This window comes from Homo sapiens, chromosome 2, assembly GCF_000001405.40.
Source record: "Homo sapiens chromosome 2, GRCh38.p14 Primary Assembly".
Taxonomy (NCBI): Eukaryota; Metazoa; Chordata; class Mammalia; order Primates; family Hominidae; genus Homo; species Homo sapiens.
The window spans coordinates 231,126,948-231,139,718 of NC_000002.12; the positions used below are offsets into that span (position 1 = coordinate 231,126,948).

At 36.8% G+C, this 12,771-nt stretch overlaps 1 protein-coding gene and 1 pseudogene across 3 annotated transcripts in view; both read left to right on the forward strand.

Moving 5' to 3' along the window:
• Positions 1-12,771, forward strand: part of PSMD1 (proteasome 26S subunit, non-ATPase 1) — a 115,961-nt gene that overhangs the window by 70,081 nt on the left and 33,109 nt on the right. For all 3 annotated transcript variants that reach the window (NR_034059.2, NM_002807.4, NM_001191037.2), the window contains one exon: positions 11,789-11,903. Coding sequence is in view for 2 of the 3 variants with exons in the window: in NM_002807.4 (NP_002798.2) it covers positions 11,789-11,903 (115 nt within the window). In the remaining variant the exon portion in view is untranslated. The remainder of the gene's footprint in view (positions 1-11,788; positions 11,904-12,771) is intronic.
• On the forward strand, positions 6,515-6,683 carry RNU1-93P (RNA, U1 small nuclear 93, pseudogene; annotated as a pseudogene).

Below are 12,771 nucleotides of genomic sequence, written 5' to 3' on the forward strand. Positions count from 1 at the left end.
CTCTAAAACCCTAAGCACTTTAAGTAGAAAGTAGCCTCTAAGTCCCCACTCCATATCTTTTTACTCTTTACACACATACACGCACACACACGCACAGACGTATACACACACACAAAACTTTGCCTCTCCCCCTTCTTTAGTGAAAATAACATTTGTACATGGTGGTAGATGTAGATAGTACAAAAGAATGTTGAGTGATAAATTCATGTGAGACAATTTTAATAAACATGTTTCCCTGCCTACTCCAGATTTGAGTAACAAGTTAAAAGGTGGACAAGCACTTTGATAATAGCAAATAGGGTCAACTGAAACAGCAACAACAACAACAAAAAAAAAAAAAACAAGAATTTAAATGTATAAACATGTAGGTCTACTCAAAGTAGAGACTTGTACCTTTTTTTGTGTTTGTTTTTGTTTTGTTTTTTGAGACAGAGCCTTCCTCTGTCACCCAGGCTGGAGTGCAGTGGCACAATCTCAGCTCACTGCAACCTCTGCCTCCCAGGTTCAAGCAATTCTCCTGTCTCAGCCTCCCAAGTAGCTGGGATTACAGGCGCCTGCCACCACGCCTGGCTAATTTTTGTATTTTTAGCAGAGACGGGGTTTCGCCATGTTGACCAGGATGGTCTCGAACTCTTGACCTCAAGTGATCGCCTGCCTCAGCCTCCCAAAGTGCTGGGATTACGGGCATGAGCCACCGCACCCCACGCCCTTTGACAACATTTTATGTGGCATAATGATGGATAGCACAGTGATGACTTCTGTGTACTTAAGAAAAGGCTAGATCATGTTCATTCAGCAAATAAATGTGAAATGAATTTATTAAATATTTCTATGCAAATAATAAGAAATATAAAAGTATGATTCTTAATGGTAGAGTGAAGTTTTTAATATCTGGAAGCTTCATTTGTGTAGAATATTTCCTTTCCCAAAAGCTTCAGATAAAGTAACTCTTACTAAAGTAACTTCAAGGTCAGACTCAGCCTCTAATCCAGTAATAACCAAAAAAACCTAATTGGCACATTTTTTTCTAAGACAATTGAATTTTCTCCCTGATGTCTTTTTAATTTATTGAGCAGATTCTGTCTTTGACCGAAAAGGGCAGTCTAATATTCTTTATAGGTCTAGGAAGACAGCTTAAATATCAGCCAAGAACACTTTTTTACCTCTCAGTCATAATACCTATTAAACAGTAACCATAAAGGAATGTTTAACATGACAGGGATTGTATCTGCTACATATTCATTTGTGAAGTATTTACTAAGTGCCATATGCTCATGGAGATATATTAATGAATAAGGTAAACATTTTCTGTCCTCATGTAATTTATAATTTTATGGAGGATGCAAACAAGTATATTGGTAACTATAGTACAGATAAGGTAGAACTAAGACTAGCTCACTTCAACAGGACCTACAGTGGAGTTCAAATATTTCTCAGCTTTCTTTTTATTCATTCCTCTCATGTTCATTCTCTTTGACAAGATCAGTGAAAGAGCTGAAACTATAAGAATAGCTATTTCAAACTTAATCTGTTCTCGTTAGACTCCTTCATTCTCTTCTGACTGCCTGTTATTTTAACGAAAGACTTTGACAAATCAAAAACAAGCTTCCTTCACTGTCTTCTCAAAATGTCTTTCTTTTCATCCATCCTATCCTTCTTTGGGATCATGTTATCATTCCTTTCCACAATTGACTTCTACTTAGGTTCTTGATCCCATCTCATATGTATATGAAGTCTGTGTTGCTTCCTCTGGCATTAACAGCCTATACCAGGAGTGTGATAGGCTGCCATCTCTACTGTCACAGCTAGTCTAGGAGTGGGGGTGTGGTAGGCAGACAGTTTAAGATGCCACAGTGCTGTCTTACCACAATACAGCACCTTCTTCTTTAAGCCCTCCCCAGGTTAAGTTTTTTACTGGATTCCTGTGTAAAAGTTGATCTAGACAATTTTTGCCAGGTTATTGCCAGAACAAAAGAATAAGATTTTTTTTTGTCATCGAAACTCTAGAGTACAACCTGATGTCATAAAATGGTGTTGTCCTTTAATCAAAAGACTGCTATACCTGGAATTATAGTTGATGATCATAACCCAAATATCTTTTGGAGTAGATATGCTCAACTCTGCATGTCCTCAGTAATCACAGTAATCAGCTATTAGAAATAGACTTTTATCATTAGAATACTTGTTTAAATATCAGAAGTGATTAAAACTTTTTGAGAATCAAAGTACATTTATGTTGATTACTATAAAAATCAAAGAAATATCAATACAGTTCTCAATGAATAGCAGTAAGTTGATGGCAGCTCACTCATACTGCAAGACTTTTCTTAGTTTGCTGATTAGAAATGAAAACAAGTGTGCTAATAATGCTGCAACTTTGAATATTACAGATTTCTGTAGGTCCAGGAATGCAATCTGAGATTTTTAAGAGCTCTATTTATTATGGTGACACAGCAATTTCTTTGTATAAGGCTTGTGACTCTTCTTACATCTTTAAAATTCCCTCCCTCGCCCATTTTAGCAGCACCTGAAAAGTATTAGTCTTTTTGGAAATGTACCAAAAGCTTGCCTAAAAGTATACTAATTTTTAGTTTTCTGAAGTCCAGGAAGATGACAACAAATAAATTCTCTTTCACTGAATTTGTAACATTTATGGCACAGTCTGTGTGGTTTTGTTTTTTGCTTTTCCTTGTGGTAAGTTATATGTATTCACTATATACTAAACTGATAAGAGTTAAAAGCTACAAATAGCAGTAGCTTAGAATATGGAGGTACGAAGAACAAAAGTATGTTTGGGAAAGAAAATTGTTTTCTTTCTCAGCTTTTTCCCTGAAAATGTTTTATGCCACAAAATTCAAAAAAGCATAATATATTTCCCCTACTTTTTTGTTTTTTACCTGTAATGGCACTGTTTGTTTGTTTTCGAGACGGAGTCTCACTCTGTCACCCAGGCTGGAGTGCAGTGGCACTGTGTCAGCTCACTGCAACCTCTGTCTCCCGGGTTTAAACAGTTCTCCTGCCTCAGCCTCCCAAGCAGCTGGGATTACAGGCGCCCACCAGCACGCCCAGCTAATTTTTATATTTTTAGTAGAGACGGGCTTCACTGTGTTGGCCAGGCTGGTCTCAAACTCCTGACCTCAGGTGAGCCACCACACCCGGCCAATGGCACTGTTGTTTCTTTTATTATTATTACAAGTTGTATGAACTAGCCAAAGAATAAAATAAAGGAGAACAAGAAAAGTTCCTCAGATTCCCACAACATGTAGCTCTGTCGTTGAGTACACATGCAGCTGGCAAATTTATAATTGTCTAAGTAAATATACTTTTTTCTGTAAATATACTTTTAAATAACATATCAAAACATGTGAAAGAGCTAAGTTATAGGTAACACATTCTATGCTAATAAAATTGTCTACCAAGTATTGATTTCTTTCCTCTCCACTGCCCTTCCCTAAAATAAAGTCCAGTGTTTTTCCTGTGACTTGACCATTTCTCAACATTTAGTTTTCTAAATACGTTGTTTTGTTTTGTTTTGTTTTTTGAGACAAGGCATCACTCTGTTGCCCAGGCTGTAGTGCAGTGGTGTGATCTCAGCTCACTGCAGACTTGACTTCCTGGGCTCAAGTGATCCTCCCAAGTAGCTGAGACTACAGGCATGCACCTCCATCCCCGGCTAATTTTTGTATTTTTTGTAGAGATGGGGTTTCGCGGGAATGCCAAGGCTGGTCTTGAACTCCAGGGTTCATGCAATCAGTCCTCCTGCCTCGACTTCCCAGAATGCTGGGATTACAGGCATGAGTTACTGTGCTTGGCCAGTTTTTCTAAATATGTTTATGGAGACATAGAAATAAGCTTTATTGCTGATTAAGGATTAGTCATTTAAATACTTTGTTATAAATGCTGATCCAAGGTATTATAAGAAACTGGAGGAATTATTTCGTGATGTTATCTAGAAGGCAAATGTTTATACTGAAGAAAGATTTAGGGAGTGTCAGAATTATTGAAAATAACTGAAAGAAAGCCTAGTGGATTGTTACTAATGATTTAATGTATTTTCTTTTAACCTGTAGGTTCTCTCTTCATCTCTTGCCTTGCCCTCTTTTTCTTTGTTTTCTTCCTCCTTGCAGTTTATTTGTTGAAGAAACCAGTTATCTCTGTTTTGTTTCCCATGGTATGAATTTTGCTGAGTGCATCTTTACATGTAGTTTAATGTGTTGTTTGGTCCTTCACATTTCCTGTAAATTGACAGTTGAATCTACAAGCTTGATCACATTCACATTTTTTTTAGGGTGGTGGGGCTGGCGGTACACACAGTTATTTCCATTTTCATGATGTTAGCAGTCGTTGATAATCATGCTGCGATCTATTCATTATATGTTACAAAATGGTGATATAATTTTATCATTTATTAACTGTTCCTTTAAAAGTTTATATCATATATCTCTGTGTGTATATATAAAGATTAATGTGCAGGAGTTTTGCTTTCAGTGAATGTTTGCATTCCAATCATTGCTTAGAAAGTTTTTTTGCCCTTGCCGGGCGCGGTGGCTCACGCCTGTAATCCCAGCACTTTGGGAGGCCGAGGCGGGCGGATCACGAGGTCAGGAGATCGAGACCATCCCGGCTAAAACGGTGAAACCCCGTCTCTACTAAAAATACAAAAAATTAGCCGGGCGTAGTGGCGGGCGCCTGTAGTCCCAGCTACTTGGGAGGCTGAGGCAGGAGAATGGCGTGAACCCGGGAGGCGGAGCTTGCAGTGAGCCGAGGTCCCGCCACTGCACTCCAGCCTGGGCGACAGAGCGAGACTCCGTCTCAAAAAAAAAAAAAAAAAAAAAAAAAAGAAAGTTTTTTTGCCCTTTTAGAGTTGCCTGCTGAAACATTGAAATAAACATATAAGAATATTATGGTTTTACTGTACTCTTGAAAAGATTGAATGTCTAAACTAATTTAATAAAGAATTTCTCATTTCTTGTCTTAACACTTGTTTTTTCTAAAGAATGTGTCAGAGTTGGAACTGTTGTTAGATTGAGACACTGTCAGGTTTTTTATATGCTTTTGAGTTTATAGCCTTCACAGCCTATTTCAGTCTTTATTGCAATTAACTAGGTAAAGTTCTGCATTAGGCTCCTGGTATTTATGTTCTCAGGCAAAATTTTTTCTAAACCTCATGGAATTGTTAGTGCCTTTTGGGAAGCAAAACTTAAGTCTAACTTCTATCCCCTTTCAGAAAACTTTTCTACTAAAGAAAAGAACTTGAGTTTTGTGGTTGGTTTAAGAATAGTATATATGTTATATTTTATTTACTCTTTTATAACAAGTAAAAATGACAAAATAAATGAAATGTTGACAGATTTTAGGATAAGCTCTTTCCTGTGAGTCAGTTTTCCCTGGAATATCCTGCCCTTGCAGCCAAGGGGTAACTTGATAAGTATCCTGCATGCCATTAGTTCCCTAACAAGTTGATGACGAAATTCTGGAGGTCTGAACCCTAAATATAACCAGCTTTCTAGGTTTAATATTCAGCTTGTTTTATATTTTGATAAACCTTTGGACATCAAATGTTAGTAGCCAAAGTTCTGGTTCTGATCCAAAGCCAGTTTCTGGTTATGCATCTAGATTTCAGTGATGGTAGTATGGTATTTTCCTCTACCACTCCACCGACTCTCCCCAGCATACATAAGGAGGAGCAGGTATTGTTTTATGGATAAGGCAATTAAGGCTCAGAGAAATTTAGTGATTGTCACCCTGCTAATAAATGGCAGCACTAGAATTGGAATCCAGGTCTTTCTGATTCTAAGCCTCTGTTCTGTCTACCACAACAAATGGAAGAGAGGTCAAGAAAAGAGATCCTTTAAGGAATCACTATGTTATTTCCAGTGAGAGGTGATAGGAACTGAAACAAGGCAATTGGAAACAGAAGTAAGATTTAAGGGGTTCTCTTGACTTGGCGGCAGATTATATGTGGAGAGTGAGGGAACAGAATGATTAAAGATACGAGTTTCCTAGGTATGTCAATGAATTGTCATGGTGGGAAGAGAAGCAACTTGGAGAGGGATGCCCTTTTTTATTCCTTTCTTTGTGGGTTTTTAAATGTTGATTGAGGTTTGTGGTATACTTGGTTAAAGATTTCCAATAGGCACTTAGAATTTCAGATTACTACTCAGATTATTTGGAATCTGTTGTTAGAGAGTACAAGGGAATTAAATAGAGACAGATATATTCTTTTTTTGAGACAGTGTCTCACTCTGTCGCCCAGCCTCCTGAGTAGCTGAGACCACAGATGCGCGCCACCACACCCGGCTAATTTTTGTAGTTTTTGTAGAGACGGGGTTTCACCATGTTAGCCAGGCTAGTCACGAAATCCTGGACTCAAGCAACGGGGGCAGATATATTCTTAATTGCTGTGTATTGAGTTAATCCTCTAACACTGTGGCACTTACCTAATGAGAATTATAAATTCATAATTCTGCTAAGGGACTATCCTGAGGCTTAAAGCCTGAAAAATTCCCTCTGAATTCTTACCTAGCATTATAGGCACATGGCCACAAAGGTGGTTTTCCCAGGGCACAGTTTGTCCATTGCACTTTGGATGAGCTGACCCCTTGATGTGTCTAAATGTGGAAAATTTGATTGCATAATTTATGGTATTGGGGGATGGGGGACTGCTTTCAGGTAGTTCCCTGGGGTCAGGGGGGAAGAATTCCCTCTGTGATAGCCCCATTTAGAATAGTGTTTCTGCCTATCTATGTATATTGCTGTTTTTCCTCCTTTAGTAAAGATGGATTAGAGGGGGAAAAGAAAGACACCATATTCTTGAAAGCATCTTGATTTATTAGTGATTTAATGTTGAGGTTGCACAAAATATTCATAAAGAAATAGTATTTAAAAGCCAGTGTGTTGAAAGAAAGGAATTCATATGTGCAGTTTATGGTCCAATGATATGGCAGTGACTTATGCATATGCCCTTGCACAATTCCTGCTCTGTGGAAGGCTTGTACAAATAGTAACATTGGCAAGATGACTGTTAGTTACAAACCAAGAAATTTTATTGAAACAACAAATTAGAATGTAGTTAGCTTATTTTGGTGTGCGTTTCATTTTTTAAAGCAGAAAATTACAACTTTTTTTCATTAAAAATTGAATTACATACTTAGGATTAAAGCAAAGTTTTTACTTACTGCTGCCTATTATATTATACCTTATGATGAACCAGAAGTATAGTAATACTAAAGAGCAACAAAGTTGTTTTTCATTTTCTTTACATGATAATTGTATAAACTAGGTTTTAAAGCCTTGGGATACATTCCCTCATGTTACATTTAAAGATTCGACTCCCAAAATTCTGTGTTATCTGTGTGTTTAGAGGGGCAGGAGGAAGGAGACTCTGATCCAAAAAAGATTTAGAACCGCTGTATCAGACAATTGGCAGATAGTCACATAACTAAGTCCCGAGCGAGCCTAAACCAAGACCCAGTTTTTCCAAATGTTTGTTATTGTCTAAACCTACTGTGTCGTGTATAATAATCACTCAATAAATATGACTGACTAGACCCAGCCACCAGGTCTTAAGAAAGATAGAGAGGGTTCTTCAGAAAGCTCTGATTCCTGCCATGCACCCAAGTGGTTATTATGCTAGTAGTCCTGATTTTTTATTTCTAGTGTTATCTTCATTATTCCTCTACACAAAATCAATATGGTTTTTCTACCTACTTTTCCTCAAGCTTGTTTCTCACATTCCAGTGTTCATTCCTTTCCAACAACATTTATCCCTCTGCTATCAGAATTGTGCCCATTCAAGACTCAATTAGCCTTAGAAAGAAATACTCACAGGTATGTCAGTTTTCCCTGGTTTTGATTATCTAGCTGAATTATAAATTTAAGGGAGAAAGCAAAAGTGGAACAGGAAAGAGCTTGGTGTATTTCCTAGTGCTTAACCATTAGGCCTTGAACTTAGTAGAAAATACTTGCTGTCTAAGTCTCTAAATGTAAATTTAGTTTAACTCTCTTTGTCTCTTATTAAGTAATAAAAATTATTTTACCTATAGTACCTGGCACTGTGCTAACAAATTATGGGAGACAGAAAATATAGTCTCAGCCCTTGTGCAGTCTAGAGTGGTTTTATTGGTAATTAATTAGGTGGCAAAACACTTGAGTGAGTTTGTTAGATGATTTGGGTATCAAATTACGGAAAGAGCTTTAAGTTCTTAGCCTTATAGGAGTGAAAATAGAAGTTAAATGGTAGTTTCAACTACAAGTTTTAGAATAACTTTTCAATAGCCTCTTTGGTGTAATATCATTTTAAATTTTATTTTTATTTCATTGGAATGTTACTCATTGAAGAAAAGTTGTCCTATAATAATAGGCATTGATTTAAACCTATAATAATTGGTTCATTTTTAAATGCTGTAGAATTGTAAAGTTGGAACAGACTTACAGAACTTCTAGTCCCATTCTTCCTCTTTTCAGATGAGGAAAGGACCCTGGAATGTTTGGTTGATTGAACATTGTCTAAATTGGCCCAACTATTTAGAGACAAAACAGGAACTAGAACATGAGTTTTAGACTTCATGGTTCCCTCTTATATAACTTACTGTTATTTTTCTCAGTACATAATAACTGATAGCATATATGTTATTACTATATTTTCAGTTACTTGCTCATCTGGTTTTTGTTATTCCTGGAAAACAGTCAAGAAAATCTATCTCTAATTATAAAGGAGAAAACCCAAGTGATTTGTCTAATGTCACATAACTAACAAATTTAGCAAAACTAGAACTAGGACCTAGATCTTTAGTTTTCTAATATATTGCTTTTTTCACACCACCATACTGTTTTTCCCATACTGTTTCTAATAATACTAGTGACAATTAGTATTATTTCCAAATTATTCATACAAGGAAGTTTAGGCAAACTGAGAACATTCTCAAGAAAGAGTGATGGACTCTATTGTAGGGAAAAATAATCTAACCTTTCCTTACTGCAAAATTTCATTTTAACAGTTACAGTTTTCATAAACTTCGTTCTACTCCTTTGAAATTTGAATTCACCACTGTCTGGAGTTTGAGGCTGGAGGACAGTTCCAACATAGAATTATAGATTTGAGTTGGTTTGTGGTAATTGTTTTCATTCATAACAGGATAGTCTTTTTTTAAAATGCCTTTTTAATAAATAAATGTTTTAATTAAATGTCTGAAAACCCTAAAATGTCAATTAATTAAATGCAAGTCAACTTCTATACAGTTACATATAAATTATATTCAGTGTAGGATTTCGGTTCACTTTAGTATTTTTAAAAGAAAGTAGGGCAGGACCTCCAAACTCAGTGCCTGGGCCCTAGGAACTATGAAGGTCTTGAAACAGCCTTTCTGGAGAAGTTGGAAATTCGGGTTTTAATGTGAAATATTCCCATCTTAAATGGTGACAACTTATTTTGAATTTTTTTAAAGTATGTAGGCCAAATAAAATCTGCTACGGGCCAGATTGGGCCCTTGGGCCAATAGTTTATGAATTTTATTTTATTGGTTTGAATTACTGAAATAGTTTTCTTGCTGGTTTTTCCACCTTCATGCTTTTAACCTGTCTTGTTCACAGGTATCTCCTTAATCTTTCTAAATCATCATTCCATTTATCTGCAAAATAAAATGCAAATTGCTAAACCTGACATTCAAGACACTGTATCATTTTGCTCTTAATTGCCTTTCCACTTTTATTTTTTATTACATGTGCTACAAAAACACTGACTGTGTTCAAATTAGACAAGCCAGGTGAATTCCCATCTCTAGACCTTTGCTGACTTACTTTCCTTATCCTGATGCCTATATTCCTCTTCATCATTTGTCCAATTCTTCCAATACTTTCAAAGTCACTTTATGTCTGCATTCTCTGTGAATTCGTCTCCTGACCACTGTTACCTCTTTCTGTGATATTTTTTTCTCCTTAGCATTCATATCTTAGGTAGTTTATGCCGCTTTGCCACTTTTATATATATAATATATATTATATTTACATATAGTATATATATATTATATATATTATATAATTATAATATATAAATAATATATATTGTGTTATATATTTATGTACCATATATAATTATATAATATATAAATATATATATTTTTATGTATAATATATATTTATATATTATATTTTATATATTATATATTTTATTTATTTATTTTTTTCCTTGAGATGGAGTCTCGCTGTCTCACCCAGGCTGGAGTACAGTGGTGCAATCTTGTCTCACTGCAACCTCTGCCTCCCGGGTTCAAGGGATTCTCCTGCTTCAGCCTCCCGAGTAGCAAGTTGCAGTTGCCCACCACCATGCCTGGCTAATTTTTGTATTTTTAGCAGAGAGGAGGTTTCACCATGTTGGCCATCTGGTCTCAAACTCCTGACCTCAAGTGATCTGTCCACCTCAGCCTCCCAAAGTGCTGGGATTACAGGCATGAGCCACTGTGCCCGCCTTTAATACACATTCTTATGTGTGTTGGTTTTGTCTCAGTAAATGTTTGGCGATGGTGAAAAATCTAGAGCTGTATATGCAGCTTCAAAGTCTAGGAAAGAGCCTAGTTTCTTTTTTTTCTTTCTTTTTTTTGTAATTTCAACTTTTATCTTAGATTCTGGGGGTACATGTGCAGGTTTGTTATGTGTGTATATAGTGTGATGCTAAAGTTTGTGGGACGGTAGATCCCGTCACCCAAGTATTATGCATAGTACCCAATAGTTTTTCAACCCAGCACCCTTCCCTCCTCCCTCCAGTTCCCAGTGTTCATTGTTGCCTTCTTTATGTCCATGAATACCCAGTGTTTAGCTCTCACTTATAAGTGAGAACATGCAGTATTTGGTTTTCTGTTCCTGCCTTAATTCACTTAGGATAATGGCCTCCATCTGCATCCATGTTGCTGCAAAAAACATGATTTCATTCTTCATGGCTGCAAAAAAATCTTTTTATTGAAGTTTAATATACATTCAAAAACATGCACAAAATCATTAGCCCACAGCTTGATGAATTTTCACAACTGCATACACCTGTGTAACCAGTACCCAATTCAAGATCATAACATTACCAGCCTTCCAGAAGCTCTTCTTACATTCTCTTCTAGTTATTACCCTAGTCCTGCTGCTCTTCAAGGATAGCCACTGTGCCAGCCAGGATCATCTTTTAAAAGATGGGGTCAGGTATACCATTAGTCAAGTTTGTCCTATTTTTTATCTTGTTGCAAATATGGAGAGAATGAAAAATAATTTCTCTTCTTACCAACACAAAAATAATTGCTAAAGCAAAAATGCAGAAGTCAGAATTTCTTCATTATCAAGGCTTCTTTATCAGTTTATTATTCAACTAAAGTGATACTGGGGGATTTAAATCTTTCATGTAACTTAGGAAATGTCCAGGAATTACTATAAATGACTTTTGTCTTCTGGAACAAAATGCAAAGTAACCAAGAAATAGGAAAATAGATGTAGAGCAGTGTGCTACCCCCAACATGGCTGTTCCTGCCATGGAGGAGGTACCAGAGAATAACTGGAATCCAGACCTATGGCTGAGGACTCACTTATACTGAGAAAGGAGTCCCCTTTCTGTACATATATTCTCTGAATATTGAAGATCAGATTTCTTCTATCAATAATTAGAACTCTATGAAAGATTTTTAATTCTGCAATTTATGTTTTAAATGCTCATTGTTTCCTATAACTTTTTCAAAAACAACTTGGTTAAAACTCTTCTGTCTTAACTTAAAATAGATTACCTATAACAGTGGCTTCGCTTTCTGTTTCTTATCAGAACCCCTGAACAGTGCCCAAGTGTTGTCTCTTTGTTGTCAGAGAGTTACAACCCTCATGTGCGCTACGGAGCTGCAATGGCCTTGGGGATATGCTGTGCTGGTACAGGAAACAAGGTAAAGCCCACAGCCAATGGGGTCAGTTCTTTCTTGGCGCCAGACTGTTTTCCCTCGCCGCAGAATTTATGTAACAGCTGTAAAAATACAAGTGCAATGTGATCTGTAAGAGTAAACTTGCCATACAAAGCTTCCCAGTACTCCCTCATTCTGCGATGCTGGATTGCCCAAAGCTGCTTAAGAATAAATCGTCACATTACATGGATAGCTGTAACTGAAACAGTGCTTTTGAATTTCTTTTTGAAATCATTGATTTCTGGGTTTTTTGTTTTTGTTTTTTTTGTTTGTTTATTTGTTTTGAAACGGAATTTCACTCTTTCATCCAGGCTGGAGTGCAGTGGCGCAGTCTCACCATGTTGGCCAGGCTGGTCTCGAACTCCTGACCTCAGGTGATCCACCCGCCTTGGCCTCCCACAGTGCTGGGATTACAGGCATGAGCCACCGCACCAGGCTTTTTTTCTTTCTTTTTTTTTTTTTTTTTTTTTTTCTTTTGAGTCTTGCTCTGTTGCTTGGGCTGAAGTGCAGTGGCAGGAACACTGCCCACTGCCAACACACTCAGCTAATTTTTTTATTTTTTGTGGAGAAGGGGTCTCACTATGTTGCCCAGGCTGGTCTCACATTCCTGGGATCAAGTGATCCTCCTGCCTCAGCCTCCCACAGTGCTGAGATTACAGGCATGAGCCACTGTGCCTGGCCCATTGATTTCTTAAAAAAAAAAAAAAAAAGAAGAAGAAGAAGAAGAAAATAAAATAGTTTTTGTTGTTGTTAAATAACTACTCAGGTTATTTTATATGATTATGTTACATGTTTAATTTGTATAATTAGTATTCTGGAAAACAAGGTTCTCATCCGAAGCCACCAAAATCGG